Source organism: Homo sapiens, chromosome 2, assembly GCF_000001405.40.
Source record: "Homo sapiens chromosome 2, GRCh38.p14 Primary Assembly".
Classification (NCBI taxonomy): Eukaryota; Metazoa; Chordata; class Mammalia; order Primates; family Hominidae; genus Homo; species Homo sapiens.
In genome coordinates this window covers 210,026,776-210,040,557 of record NC_000002.12, presented here as the reverse complement: position 1 = coordinate 210,040,557, position 13,782 = coordinate 210,026,776, and the positions used below count along the sequence as shown (strand labels likewise).

General features: G+C 35.0%; 1 protein-coding gene and 1 long non-coding RNA gene across 12 annotated transcripts in view; one reads left to right on the top strand and one right to left on the bottom strand.

Annotated features, from left to right (window-relative positions):
• KANSL1L-AS1 (KANSL1L antisense RNA 1) overlaps positions 1 to 10,636 on the bottom strand; it is a 34,435-nt gene extending 23,799 nt beyond the window's left edge. The window contains exons 1-4 of the long non-coding RNA NR_110291.1: positions 10,560 to 10,636; positions 9,051 to 9,091; positions 7,634 to 8,395; positions 5,314 to 5,402 (exon numbers count right to left, since the gene is read on the bottom strand). This is a non-coding gene — a long non-coding RNA (KANSL1L antisense RNA 1). The remainder of the gene's footprint in view (positions 1 to 5,313; positions 5,403 to 7,633; positions 8,396 to 9,050; positions 9,092 to 10,559) is intronic.
• The window catches only part of KANSL1L (KAT8 regulatory NSL complex subunit 1 like), a 151,340-nt gene that overhangs the window by 132,203 nt on the left and 5,355 nt on the right, over positions 1 to 13,782 (top strand). For 9 of the 11 annotated variants that reach the window (XM_047443489.1, NM_152519.4, XM_005246330.4 and 6 more), the window contains 5 exons: positions 31 to 138; positions 9,012 to 9,137; positions 10,640 to 10,755; positions 11,589 to 11,713; positions 13,208 to 13,262. In XM_047443489.1, coding sequence (XP_047299445.1) covers positions 31 to 138; positions 9,012 to 9,137; positions 10,640 to 10,755; positions 11,589 to 11,713; positions 13,208 to 13,262 — 530 coding nt within the window. The remainder of the gene's footprint in view (positions 1 to 30; positions 139 to 9,011; positions 9,138 to 10,639; positions 10,756 to 11,588; positions 11,714 to 13,207; positions 13,263 to 13,782) is intronic. The other 2 variants (NM_001307976.2, XM_005246332.6) reach the window with 1 other exon arrangement.

The window sequence follows — 13,782 nt, the reverse complement described above, 5'->3', positions numbered from 1 at the left end:
GAAAATACCTTTTTTATTTTATTTTTCCAGATGTGCCTCTTCATTTTCACTTTGAAACACTGTTAAAAAAGACTGAAATAAAAGGCAATCTTGCTGAAAATAAATTTGTAGATGAATATATCATATCTCCATCACCTGGTATGTCACATTTACAGTTCTTGTACTCTATATGCCTTTTTATGTCTTTATACTTACTATTTTTGCATTCTAAGAAAAATAAAATCTAAGAAAAGAATACATGAAAATCCTTAATTTTTAATACTCACTTTTTACAACTCATGTACACATAAAATACAAGAACAATCTTAACATGAAATGTGCGATACCTATTGAATTGTAATTATGAACTATTACTGATAAATATAATAAAAATTTAAATAAATGTGGAGAAACAGCATTTCTGTATGGTAAGATCAATAAATATATAAATTCTTCCTAATAGTTCATATGATTAATGTAATGTAACTCGAAGTTCTCATAGAATTTGTTTAACTTAAAATAATTCTAAAGCACAATGGGAAGACTAAACAGGGGAAAATATAAAAGGAATTATTATAAAAAGTTTAGAGAAAATCTAGCCCAAGCACATATGGAAACATGACAAAAATCTATAATAATGTAGAATCTATTTTGTTTATATTTAAGAAAATAGATCAATGAAGTAAACTCTATAGTTGATTATATATCAGGGAAGAATTGTATATTAGTGGGAAAGTGGAGAACCATTGGTTCTCATGGAGAGAGTCTTTCCCAGTAAAATTCTTTTACATACTCATTTAATGCTATGAATCAGAATAAGTTCTAGTTAATTCCAAGAATTGTACATAAAACATTAAAACTACAAAATAAAACTTGAGGAAATTATAATGAAATGTTTATGAGTTCTGTAAATGTGGGTGAGTTCTATGCTTGGAAGCAATTAGAAGAAGAAAGAAAACAACATATTTTGATTATCTACAAAGTTAAAATCTAAACATCAGAAAAGTCATATAAATTTAAGATAAATTATTTCTACATGAAATAATCTACCTCAAAAACTCGAGTCAAATGAATACCTGTTAGAACTGGGGTCTTATTATAAAATAAATTTATAAAAATCAGCAGCTTTTATAAGTACCAATAGTAACTAGATAGCCTATGTAAAGGAATAAATTCTGTTAGACATATTGACAATGAAAATATAAAGTATTTTTAATCAAACTTAACGAGTACCTACATGAGGACTACTTCAAAAGTTCAGTGAGAAACATGAGGACATTCCTATATGGAGAGAAATATCCTGTTCCTGTCAGAAGACAGTATCATAACTAAAGTTGTCAATTTTCCCCAAATTAATTTACAAGTAGAATATAATCCTAATCAGAATCAGAGGTATTATTGGAACGAAGTTATTCTGGAAGTTTATCTCAGACAGAAAATGTTGAATAGCCAATTACATTTTTAGAAGATTAATAGCAGGACTATGAAGTTATAATCACTAAAACATGGTGGTTCTGATAGAAGGCAGATCAAGGGAGCTTAAAAAAAGCCTAGAGACAGAAGGTGGTATTTCCTACCATGTTGATAAAATGGCTTAGTCAATAAATAATAATGACAACAACAACAAATTCTTATGAAGCATCATTTATATGTCAGCACTGATTGAAGGGCTTTATATTACTTAATTATTTAAGTCTGTATAATTCTATAAGGTAGGTATTACTATTCTCCTTGACTAATCTTCCCCAAATTACAGTTGAGTAATAAAAGAGCCAGAATTCAAACCCAAGCAGTCTGGCTTGGAGCCATGCTCTATATAACTAAGTTTCCTTTGTAATCAAAGGCATTAAATAACGACTCTTTGGAAGAATTAAAAACTGATATCACTAACTCATAAAGCACTTTAAAACAAATTTAAGGTGGATGAACATTAAAATACATTTCAGTTGGATTAAAAAGTTAAATGTTAAAAATGAATGTCTTAAAAGAATAACAAGAAAAAGTAAGTGTACTTGATGATAATAATGAAAATAATATTAACTGAGCTTATAGTCAGACACTATGCAAATATTTACTACTTTTGCCTGCAACATTAATGATTTTAAACATTATAATCATCAATTTTGGCACAACTATAGTAAAAATAGCACCCTCAAATATCTTGGATATTAAGAATTGATACAAGCCTTTTGAGGAGCTCTGCAAAATGCATTACAAGGCGTTTAAACTACGTATTTTTTTATAAGTTCAGTGTGGCTTAAAAACTCCCTTGTTTATTTTGTACCTATTCCCAATAAATGTTTACTGGACTGTTAACCCTGCATTCTGACCCAACTATTCCATTTCCAAGAATCTAGTCTAATCCTAAATATGAAAGCTTTTTTCGCAACTGTATTCATCTTAACATGTTTTTGTGATAATGAAAAATTAGCAACAACTTGAAAAGCATAATAGGGATATGGTTAAATACATTACAGTGGAATATACAGCCTTAAAAAATATCTTAAAAGTTCATATAAGGATGGAAACCTACTTATCAAAGAATGTTGTGATATAAAAGGATAAAAATATTTTACTTCTATATCTGGTAAAATTATAGTCGTGTAGAAATATTTATTGTTATATCAATCAAATGCAATGTATGGACCTTGTTGAGATTGATTTGAATAAGCCTGCTGTTTATAGACACACATATAATTTTTGAAACAGAGAAATTTGAACATGGACTAGCTGTTAGATATTAATGAATTATTGTTAATTTTGCTACTTGTAATAATGCATTGTGGTTACATAAACCCAGACGTACTTTTTCAGTTTGTTAGAGATTCACACTAACATATATGTAGATGAAAAGACATGTCTGGGATTTGCTTTTAAATACTCTAGCAAAAATGTTGGTGGGAGAGATGAAACAAGATTGGTTATAAGTTGTTCACTGCTGAGACGGAAGGATAGGTATACGGGAGTTCATTATTCTAGTCTCCTTTGTGTTTATTTGAAAATTTTCCACAGTAAAAATTAAAGAGAAAAAAGATGAAGGCACCAAGGATGAAGAACAGTTATCTATGCTTAGGGGGAAAAGCCTAAAGAAATACAGAAAAATATAAGTATTATGTGCAGTTACCTTTTAATGATGCGATTTCACTTGTTGGAATTTGTCCCGAGACTAGATTGTTTTCAAAAGGGAAAAAAATGCATCCATGAAGATGATTATTTTAAGAATGTCTCTAATAGCATTATCATTATGATGATAAGTATCATGGCCAACAGCTAGGAAATAGCTAAAGAACATTGTTTCTAATCACGGAATGTTATATAACCATCTGAAAAAGTAATAGAGTATGTGATAAAAATATAAGTATGCATTTAATTAAAATTATGATTTCATACTTGAAATACATATGAAATATAAAACGTTATTGACTGAAAGAGTATGCAAATATGAAAATATATGCTATTAGAGATTAGATAATTATATTTCTTTTAATGTTGTTCTACTATTTGATTTAAAAAAAATAAGGCAGGTCAGGTGCGGTGGCCCACACCTGTAATCCCAGCACTTAGGGAGGCTGAGGCAGGAGGATCGCTTGAGCCCAGAGTTCAAGACCAGCCTGGGAAATATAGTGAAACCCCATCTCTACAAAAAATACAAAAATTAGCTGGGCATGGTGGCGTGCACCTGTTGTCCTAGCTACTTGGGAGGCTGAGGCAGGAGGATCATCCGAGCCTGGGAGGTTGAGGCTGCAGTGAGCCATAGTTACACCACTGCACCTCAGGGTGGGTGACAAAGTGAGACCCTGTTTGTAAAAAAATAAAATAAGGCAGTTAAACGTGTTAGGCACACAATTAAGGGGAATGCATAAATAATGTAATGAGAAATTTCATCCTATATATCTGTCTTAAATAGCTGGTCATTAATTTTTCTTTTGCTGTTAGTGATTTGAGTTCAGAATTTATTGAGCACTTAGTGCCAGGCAGACTATTAAGTGCTGAAGAATCAAAGGTGAATTACAGGAAGTCAAAATTATAATGTAATGGAGGAAGACACAAATAACTATTATATAGTATAATGGACATAGATGATAAATACCTTTGAAGGCTGAGTGTGGTGGCTCATGCTTGTAATCCCAGCACTTTGGGAGGCTGAGGTAGGGGGATCGCTTGAGCCCAGGAGTTCAAGACCAGCCTGGGCAACATGGTAAAACCCTGTCTCTACAAAAAATATAAAAATTAGGCAGGCATGGTGGTGCATGCCTGTAGTCCCAGGGACTTAGGAGGCTGAAGCAGGAGGATTGCTTGAGCCCAGGAGCTTGAGGCTGCAATGAGCAATGATCGCATCACTGCACTCCAGCTTGGGTGACAGAGTGAGACTCTATCTTAAAAAGAAATTATATAAAGAAGATATAAATAAGGAGTATGTAACTACTTAGAAGGCAGAAAAAGAGAGGTTCAGGGAGATGAGAAATGGGCAAGGAGAGGAACTCCAGAAAGTTGGTGATGCCTAAGTGCAGCTTCGACTACTTAATTGGAATTTACAGAGAAAGAAGGGTGGAGCGTTCCAGATTAGTGCTTCTCAAACTTTAAAATGTAAGCAAGTTACTTCGGGGATATTGTTAGAATGCAGAGTCTGATTTAGTAAGTCTGGAATGGGACCTGAAATTCTGCATTTCTAACAAGGTCCCAGGTGATTCAGATGCTGTTGGCCCATACTGAGTAACAAGTCTTTAAATAACAAAAACAAACATATGTCTTGTCATGGAGACATGACACAGTATGATATATTCAAATATCTATAAATAAGGCCAGGCACAGTGGCTCACGCCTGTAATCCTACCACTTTGGGAGGCTGAGGCAGGTGGATCACCTGAGGTCAGGAGTTTAAGACCAGCCTTGGCAACATGGTGAAACCCCGTCTGTACTAAAAATACAAAGGCTAGCTGAGGGTGGTGGTGCACACCTGTGGTCCCAGCTACTCGGGAGGCTGAGGCACAAGAATCACTTGAACCCAGGAGGCAGACGTGTAGTGAGCCGAAATGGCGCCACTGCACTCCAGCCTGGGTAACAGAGTGAGACTTCATCTCAAAACAAACAAACAACAACAAATATCTACAAATAACTTGGCATTCCTGTAGGGTAAGTTGTGTGAAGGCAGTAGACAGATCTTTGCTTGGATTTATCCTGTATGGTCCATTAGATTTGGCAGTTTACAATGGCATTGCTGATTTCAGGCAACAAGCAGAGAAAAGCCAAACTGTAGTGGGTTGAAAAGTGAATGGATGACTAGTTTAATCATGAGGAATACCAGACAAAACCAATTTAAGGGTTTATACTTACCAAAATGTTCAAAGTTATGAAAGTTATGGAAGACAGTGGAACTGTTTCAGATATAAGACCTTAATGAGATCTGACAACTGCAATGCCATCTGCAATGAATAGTTGAAATTATCTGTAAATAACATTATAGAGATATTGGTGAAATCTGAATAAGGTCTATAGATTAGCTAATGGTACTGAACTGCATGGCTACATAAGAGAATGTCCTTTGTTTTGAGAAATACACATTGATGTATTTAGGGCTAAAGGGGCATCATGTCAGCAACTAAATTTCATTTGTGGTCTGAAAGAAGGAGGTAAAGCAAATGTGATACGATGTTAACATTTGGGGGATTTCAGAAAAGGGTATACAGAAATTTTTTGTTCTATTTCAAGTTTTCTGTAATTCTGAAATTAGGTCTCAGATAGATGGAAGAGGAGGAACAATAGCACCATAACCCACACAAGCAAGCCAGAAACATAGAGCTCAGTCTTTGTCACCCACACTTCCTCCAACTTGGTCTAAACCAATTGCCAAGTTGTCAATATGATCTTATGTGTTTGAGTTCCTTTTGTGCCTTCGACTACTCTCACAGTCCAACATGATCTCTTATCTATACTGCTGAAATAGACTTTTAATCCATTTTTCCCTTTAATCACTGTAGGCAGTGACCTCCTCAAAATGCAAATCTAATGTCACACCTGCTCCCCACCCCATCCCTTTAAATCATTCGAGAAGGAATATTCTTAACACCTTAAAGCCCTATCTACATAGGCTGGCTCCTCCCTCATGATTCTTTCTCACCATGCTTCCTTACTCTACAGTACATAGCTGTTCAGTTCCCAAATTTGTCCTGTTCCCTTGGGCCATTGTACATGCTATTCTCCTCCTTCCCCTAGCTATCAGCTATTTCTGTTCATATTTGGAGTCTGTCACTTCATCTGGGGAAGCCTTTCCTAGAGCTCTTACTAGCACTCTTATACATTCTCAGTAACATCATGTAGTTTCACAACTGAAATGAATATTTTCCTATCACATTACAATTGCATTCCTTAACACCTGTAAACGACAAGGGCTGCTACAAATCCTAGTTTTGCTTACCTAGGGTTTAGAATAATGCTTGCCATGTAATTGGTTCTCTGTAAAGTTGTTGTTGGATGAATAAAAGGGAAGGAAGTAAAGACAGGATATATGAGAAATGCTATGAAAGTGTGATCTTAGGATGAACTCTAGGAGAGGATTGGGAGAGCAAGAACTGAAAGGCTGGGAGGTTTATCAATAGAACAGGTGAAGAGGATGTGTAGAATTGTCATACATTTCCTACGGTTTCAAGGGTCCATGAAAACCTTACAAGACAGTAACGAATTAGAAGGAAAATAAATGTGAAAAAAACATTTGAATAAAATTTAATTTAAAAATCAACTTTTGGCCGGGCGCGGTGGCTCACGCCTGTAATCCCAGCACTTTGGGAGGCTGAGGCGGGCGGATCACGAGGTGAGGAGATCGAGACCATCCTGGATAACACGGTGAAACCCCGTCTCTACTAAAAATACAAAAAAAAAAAAAAAATAGCCGGGCGTGGTGGCAGCCACCTGTAGTCCCAGCTACTCGGGAGGCTGAGGCAGGAGAATGGCGTGAACCCGGGAGGCGGAGTTTGCAGTGAGCCGAGATCGCGCCACTGCACTCCAGCCTGGGAGACAGAGCGAGACTCCGTCTCAAAAAAAAAATCAACTTTTGTGAAAGTTGATTCCTTCACAAAATTTGATGTTTTCAGAAGAGTGGAGAATTGCTTGTAGAAAATAAGAGAAACGTTAATTGTCTATGATTTGCTTAAATGCTACAGCAAAATGTTATTAAAAGAATGGACACTTTTAACACCTACACACGTTTTAACACACACATACATTTTAAAATCCACCTCTCACAATTCTAGTTACCATTTTAGTACGTTTAGATTACTCCTGCCATGCTGTTTTCTTGTATTAATAACTTTCAGGGTATTATCATCTGTGATGCATTTATGATTTTTCATTTGCTGTTTGACATGCAAGTGCATCGTTGAAATCTTAGGGTTTAATATTGATTCTGGAAAACACTTCAGCTATCACTTCTTCAACTATTCCCTCCTTTTCACTCTTTCTAGTCTCATCTTGTTACCCCATTGCGGTCTTTTTCCCTCCATATTTTCTATCACTCTGTTCCATCAAGTTATGGAATTCCTCTTCCAGACCCTGATTTTGATTTTCAGCTGTGTCCATTCTGTTTCTTAGCCTAGTGATGATTTTAACATTTGAACAATTACATTTTCTATTTCTGACATTTCTCCAGAGGGCCTCTTACCTGTTTCTCTTGGCAATACTGTTTTAAAGAGTTGCTAATCTGTATTCCATGAATGCTTCATTATTTCTTGAGATGGTTCTTCCACTTGTGGTTTGTACCTCTTTTTTGATTGTGTTGGTATTCAGATTTTTGGAGTTTTCTATACTCATCATTGAAGCTGTGATACTCAGTTAAAACTCTTCTACCACTGCTGTTTATGGGACACTTTTGATGGGAAGGGAATTTATACAACATTTGAAATTTTCAGACTAATTTGGGGATGGGCGGGACATTTCAAAGCAGGGCACCTGGGCATTGCCTTCTCTCTCCAACCATTCATTTCTCTGCCTAAAGCTCTGATTCTGTTAGTCTGACTGAGATATTGGCATGTGCAGTCAATATCCAGATAGTTGTCCTGCTCCCAGTTTTCCTTTCTTGTGGGTCTAGAGCACCTTTAGTGGCGTCACACATCTTTGTGGCAGTACTTCACTATGTGCTTCTGCTCTGGGTTTCCTCTTCAAATTCCATATAGTATTAGTCTTTTAGAGATTCCTCAGAAATTCTGCTTTACAGGTTCCACTTTTTGCTTGCAAATGTGGATTTATATGTGCCTATCTGTGCATGTACCTATGTAAAACGTATTTGTCTATCATGTTTAGGGTCATTTGCCATCTTGAAACCAGACACTCCTTGTCAGCTGGTAGGCCATGCCCTTTATTTCAGTGTGAGTTTGGCACTTCAGCTTACATATTTCTTTTTCCACTCCTTTCCACATCTCCAAACCTTTCAAAAAAAGAAGCCAATTTGGTTGTTAGACCAAGGCTGGAAATAAGGGGGTTCAGATATACAATCATGATAACGCTAACATTTACTGCACACTTATCACATCAGACACTTTTACTTACTACTACAGGAATAAACTCATGTAATCATTATCCAAGGTCGCTGCTATTATCCCTATTTTACAGATGATGCAACTAAGGCATCAGAGATATTAAATGATTCTGGTTCTTGCTCGCACAGTCTAGTCTGACCATGTTGAATCTTACTTGGTCCCAACTTATTTCCAGATTTAAAGGTAAGCAAGAACTTAAAGATTCTGATCGCCAAGATTTATATATCTGAGCCAATCCTCACTCTATCAAGTTTCTGTAATTTGGAAGACTTTGAGAACAGATCATCTTCCCTTTTCATCCCCCTCAAAAAAATGGAGAAAATATAAGAAACTGGAAATTCCTGGGGATGTTTTTAGTTGGAGTTGTGTGTCTTGGTATTTATGTTTATCTGTAATTTTGAACTGGTATCTTAAAATTCTGCAGTTACAAATAAAAACAGATTGACATGTTCACTGTCTGTGTTAAGGAACTAAAACTTAATATTTCCTTTTCATTTGTTTTAGTACATAGTACTCTGAATCAATGGAGAAATGGATATTCACCTATATGTAAGCCTCAAATAAGGTCAGAATCTTCTGCACAACTGTTACAGGGAAGAAAGAAAAGACATTTGAGTGAAACAGCATTAGGTAGGTTAAAGTGAGGATATAAGCAGTAGTGATAAATATTAAAAATTAAAAATTCTGATTTTAAAATAACCTCTCATGGGAGTTTATAATCCAGAACAGCCACTAATAACACAAAACATCTATGAGTCTACAAACATGAAACAGCATATTCGTAGTTAATTTAGAATTATTTGTGGACTGGTATCTACCCACTTTATGGCAATTAAGTATTTCCCTCCTATGTTCCCTGACTAGTTGTCTTCTACCAATCAGTCCCTGGATGGGATTTAATCTTCAAAGTTGTGTTCTATGCTCAAAATAGGCTAGTGCAAAGTTGCCTTACAGAAACTGTTAACCATTTATGGTACCTACTGTGGAGATGTTGATGCACTGCAGATTCCTCAGGATTTTGAGAAAGTCAACAAGATTCAACTTATATATATATATAAAGCTTTAAAAACATCTAATAAGATGCAACATGAAGTATACATTACCTAAGATATAAAATGTTTCACTTAAATTGACTGACACTTTAGATCTAACTTCAAGTTTGATGTACATACAGGAATAAAATAAAGAAATGTCATACTACAAATAAATAACTAGACAATTCCAAAAGGGTAGGACATCTGGTCCAGCCTGTCAAAAGTCAATGTAATGAAAAATGATTTATTCTAGACTATAAGAAACCTAGGAGACAATGGCCAATTTTTATATATAGATCCTTATCTGAAGAAACTAGCTATAAAGGACTTTTTTTTAACAAATGGAGATATTTAAATATGGACTGGGTATTAGATTTTATATTATGCAGGAAATATTCTCATTTTAAAACACTTGTACTAAAATAAGGGCAGTAAGTAAACGCATACATATATATATTTACTACACACACACACACACACAGTAACTGGGAACCAAAACAGGAAAAAAAAAAAAAAAGAACTTGGAAGATATACAGAAAATACTAACAGAAGTAAACTTCTAATCAATATCCTGAGAGATATGAGAAATTTCATCTATGAAACAAGAACAGGATGCTGTTTTAAAAAAAGAGTACCAGAGAACAAGTACTTTCGGAAACATGTACTTATAATAGCAGAATTTTTTCAAAAAATTAAGAGTGTTCAGAAGACCAAGGACAGATACCTCACATAAATTAGGATAAAAAGTCAGATATGAAAAATGAGATTAGATAAGAAAATTAAGATAGTTCTGGTGGTTCAACTATGAATAGGAGTCACAGGAAACAAGAATAAAGGGATGAGATGAGGGATTATTCAGGGAACAATAAGAAATATATTCGATAAAAACTGCCAAAGCCCCAGAAAATGGAAATAACTTGTGGCATGACTGCAAGTAAGGCTCCTCTTTTTTCATTTCCTTTTTTGTTTTCTAATACACGAATTTAAACACACACACACAAAACAAGGAATCAATCACCTGTCATCTAATTAGGAAAGTAATTCTAATGATATTAGACTTGTTTAATGTGTAACATTCAATGGTTCTTTCCATGGCAGGAGAAAGAACTAAACTTGAAGAATCTGATTTTCAACACACAGAATCAGGATCCCATAGCAATTTTACTGCTGTTTCCAATGTCAACGTTTTATCAAGAATCCAGAATTCATCACGAGTAGGTTTTTCCATATGTTGAACTCTAAAATAGCTTTAAAAATAAAAACACCTGATTTTGAAAATAATTTATATTTTGCTAATCTATAACAGCCTTACTAGCACATATTAACAGACATTTATAACTATCTTGTTAGAAAACAATATATTTGATTCATACAACTTATTTTTAACTATGAAGCTAAAAGTTCATTAATATTTGGTTATAGCTTCTTTTTATGTGTTAAAAATTTAAACATTATCATGATCATCTCTATTCCTTAACATATTAAGCTAAATAAAGTCTTACTAATGAGAATTCAGGACTTTCTTGTTCTTGTCCTGTTTTTTGTTTGTTTGTTTGTTTTTTTGTTATCTGGCCAGGGAATAGAGAGGTCAAAAGGTGGGAGGGTTTAGAAATGAATTCCGAAACTCAGGAACCAGGAATGCATAAATGAAGAGTATACTGAAGGGCTGACCAAAAATGTTTCACTGCCTTTCCTAATAAAAAGTGGTTACTGATCATTTTCATTGACATTTAGGGTGATGTATGTTGGTCTTTTCTGATAAAGAGTTTTGCATTTAAGACCTATTTTTTGTGGTCTTAAAAATAAGCTTGTATGCTTGCACACATAAATACACATTACACATCTACCAAGAGATTGTTCTGATTTACAAAAGATAGAAAAATGTTTTATTTTTTGGTTTTCTTAACATTTTTTAGTCAGACTTTATAACAATGTATTTACAAAAATTATGTAACGTGTACTGCCATATTTACATAACTGATGAAAGGAGGGTATCATTACAAGTAACTAGACAGTACTGTAAATCTACTGTAATCCTGTTTTGCAGAATACTGCACGACGGAGATTGAGAAGTGAGAGCTCTTATGACATAGATAACATTGTGATTCCCATGTCATTAGTAGCCCCAGCTAAATTAGAGAAACTCCAATATAAGGAAATACTTACTCCAAGGTATGTATACTTACATCTTCATATTTTTCTTCCTTCCTTCCCTAATAAACTTAAATTTTCAAAGTGAAGAATTTTAATTAATGAAAGGAGCATCCTTCTCCCAGTTCCTTCATAGCCATGGAGGGGAAACGGTGAAAAAAAAATTACTCGTGCCTTAAGTGTTATATAGTATCACAACTTTATTTCTCAGTTTTTATTAAGATTTAGGAATTCCTAGACTACTTTAGCATTCTTAGTCTTTTTTATTATTATTATCCAGTGTTATCTACTATGTATATGACACTAAAAGGTACTTTAGTGACATAAAAACTATAGCAACAAATAATCCTTGCCCTTGAAGATACAGGTGTGACATAAGTTGCAAAGAGTTCTACGTTTTCATGGGGTATTCACACTGTAAGACAGTAATACCTGTGACCAAAAAAAAAAAAAAAAAAAAAAGATTTTGATGCATTGCCAAGTCAGCAATAAACACATTCAAAAGATGAGTGGGAAGGTCTGGGAAGTCATCCATGAAGGAATGGGAAGGTGGAGAAGGTATTTACATAGGGATACGACAACAAAGGCACAGGACAAGTGTGTAAGGCTTAGCCAGATACTGTTTTGTGCAGGTTGATAATGGAAGGCTAAAAACAAAGTTAGGTCCAGATTGATAATGGAAGGCTAGAGACAAAGTTAGGTCCAGATTTGTGGAGGTCCCTGAATGCCATACACAGATCTGCTCCCTACTGGCAGTAACGTTAGCCAAACTTTTTAGAAATCATGAATGCAGCTTCTTAAGAATATAAATGACACCAGGAAGTAGAGACAGAAAAGGCTGCAAACAGAGACAGGTGGGTGACAATTTCAGTCAATTGCTATACATCTCTATTCTAATTTCATTTCTTTTACTACTTCATAATTACTTTGAGGTATTAAGAGCATAATATTCTAGAAGAGTTATATGAGAACTCAATCTGTGGATACTTGTTGCATAAGTAATAACATTTGTGGCTATGACGTTCTATAGCAAAAATATATTTCAACTTGCAATGGTAGGCTGGAGCTAGCTGGCTGAGCAGATAGTTAAATATAGAAGACTTCTGTGAGCCAGTTATTAAACTACTGATGGCTCAAAAGGGGCTATGGTAGGTATTTTCACACCAAAGAAATTGGCAAACATACAAACCAGGGTTTTTTTCCTTCTCTGTTACTTTTTGGCCAGGCCAGTTTATCAGCGTACCACTGACTTCAGTCAGTACATAATTATTATGTATAAAATGCAGCTATACAGAACAGACTATTCACCATAAGGCCAAAAATAAAGTCTCATTTTCTCTTTTGTCCTTTTCTCATAATACAAATGTTTTTCTTTTAAAAAATTAAGTATTAAAATACAACAATTTGAACCATGGAAGTGCCAAGGAAACACTAATACATTTAGCTGTGCTGAGTATAAAATTGCCACATTTAAATAAATAAAAGCTGTTTAAAATTGGTTTTTATCTTCAACAGCTGGAGGATGGTTGTTCTTCAGCCTTTGGATGAATATAATTTAGGCAAAGAAGAGGTAAGCTGCCTTTCATTTAATGGGATAATTGCACATTATGTATTATGAAACCTGCTTACTTTGACATTCAGGGAACTAAAGGAATATATAAGCCCTTTAACTTACACTGATTTTTTTCTTTTCACTTATGAAAAGGAAGTTCTTTTAAAAGAATATTCGAAAAATGTTTTGTGCAAATTTGACTACCAGCATAATATAGAAATACACAATAATTTAAAAAGCCAAGGCCGGGCGCGGTGGCTAATGCCTGTAATCCCAGCACTTTGGGAGGCCAAGACGGGCGGATCACGAGGTCAGGAGATGGAGACCATCCTAGCTAACACGGTGAAACCCCGTCTCTACTAAAAATACAAAAAAATTAGTCGGGCGTGGTGGTGGGCACCTGTAGTCCCAGCTACTTGGGAGGCTGAGGCAGGAGAATAGCGTGAACCCGGGAGGCGGAGCTTGCAATGAGCCGAGATCGCACCACTGCACTCCAGCCTGGGCAACAGAGCAAGACTCCGTTTCAAAAAGAAAAAAA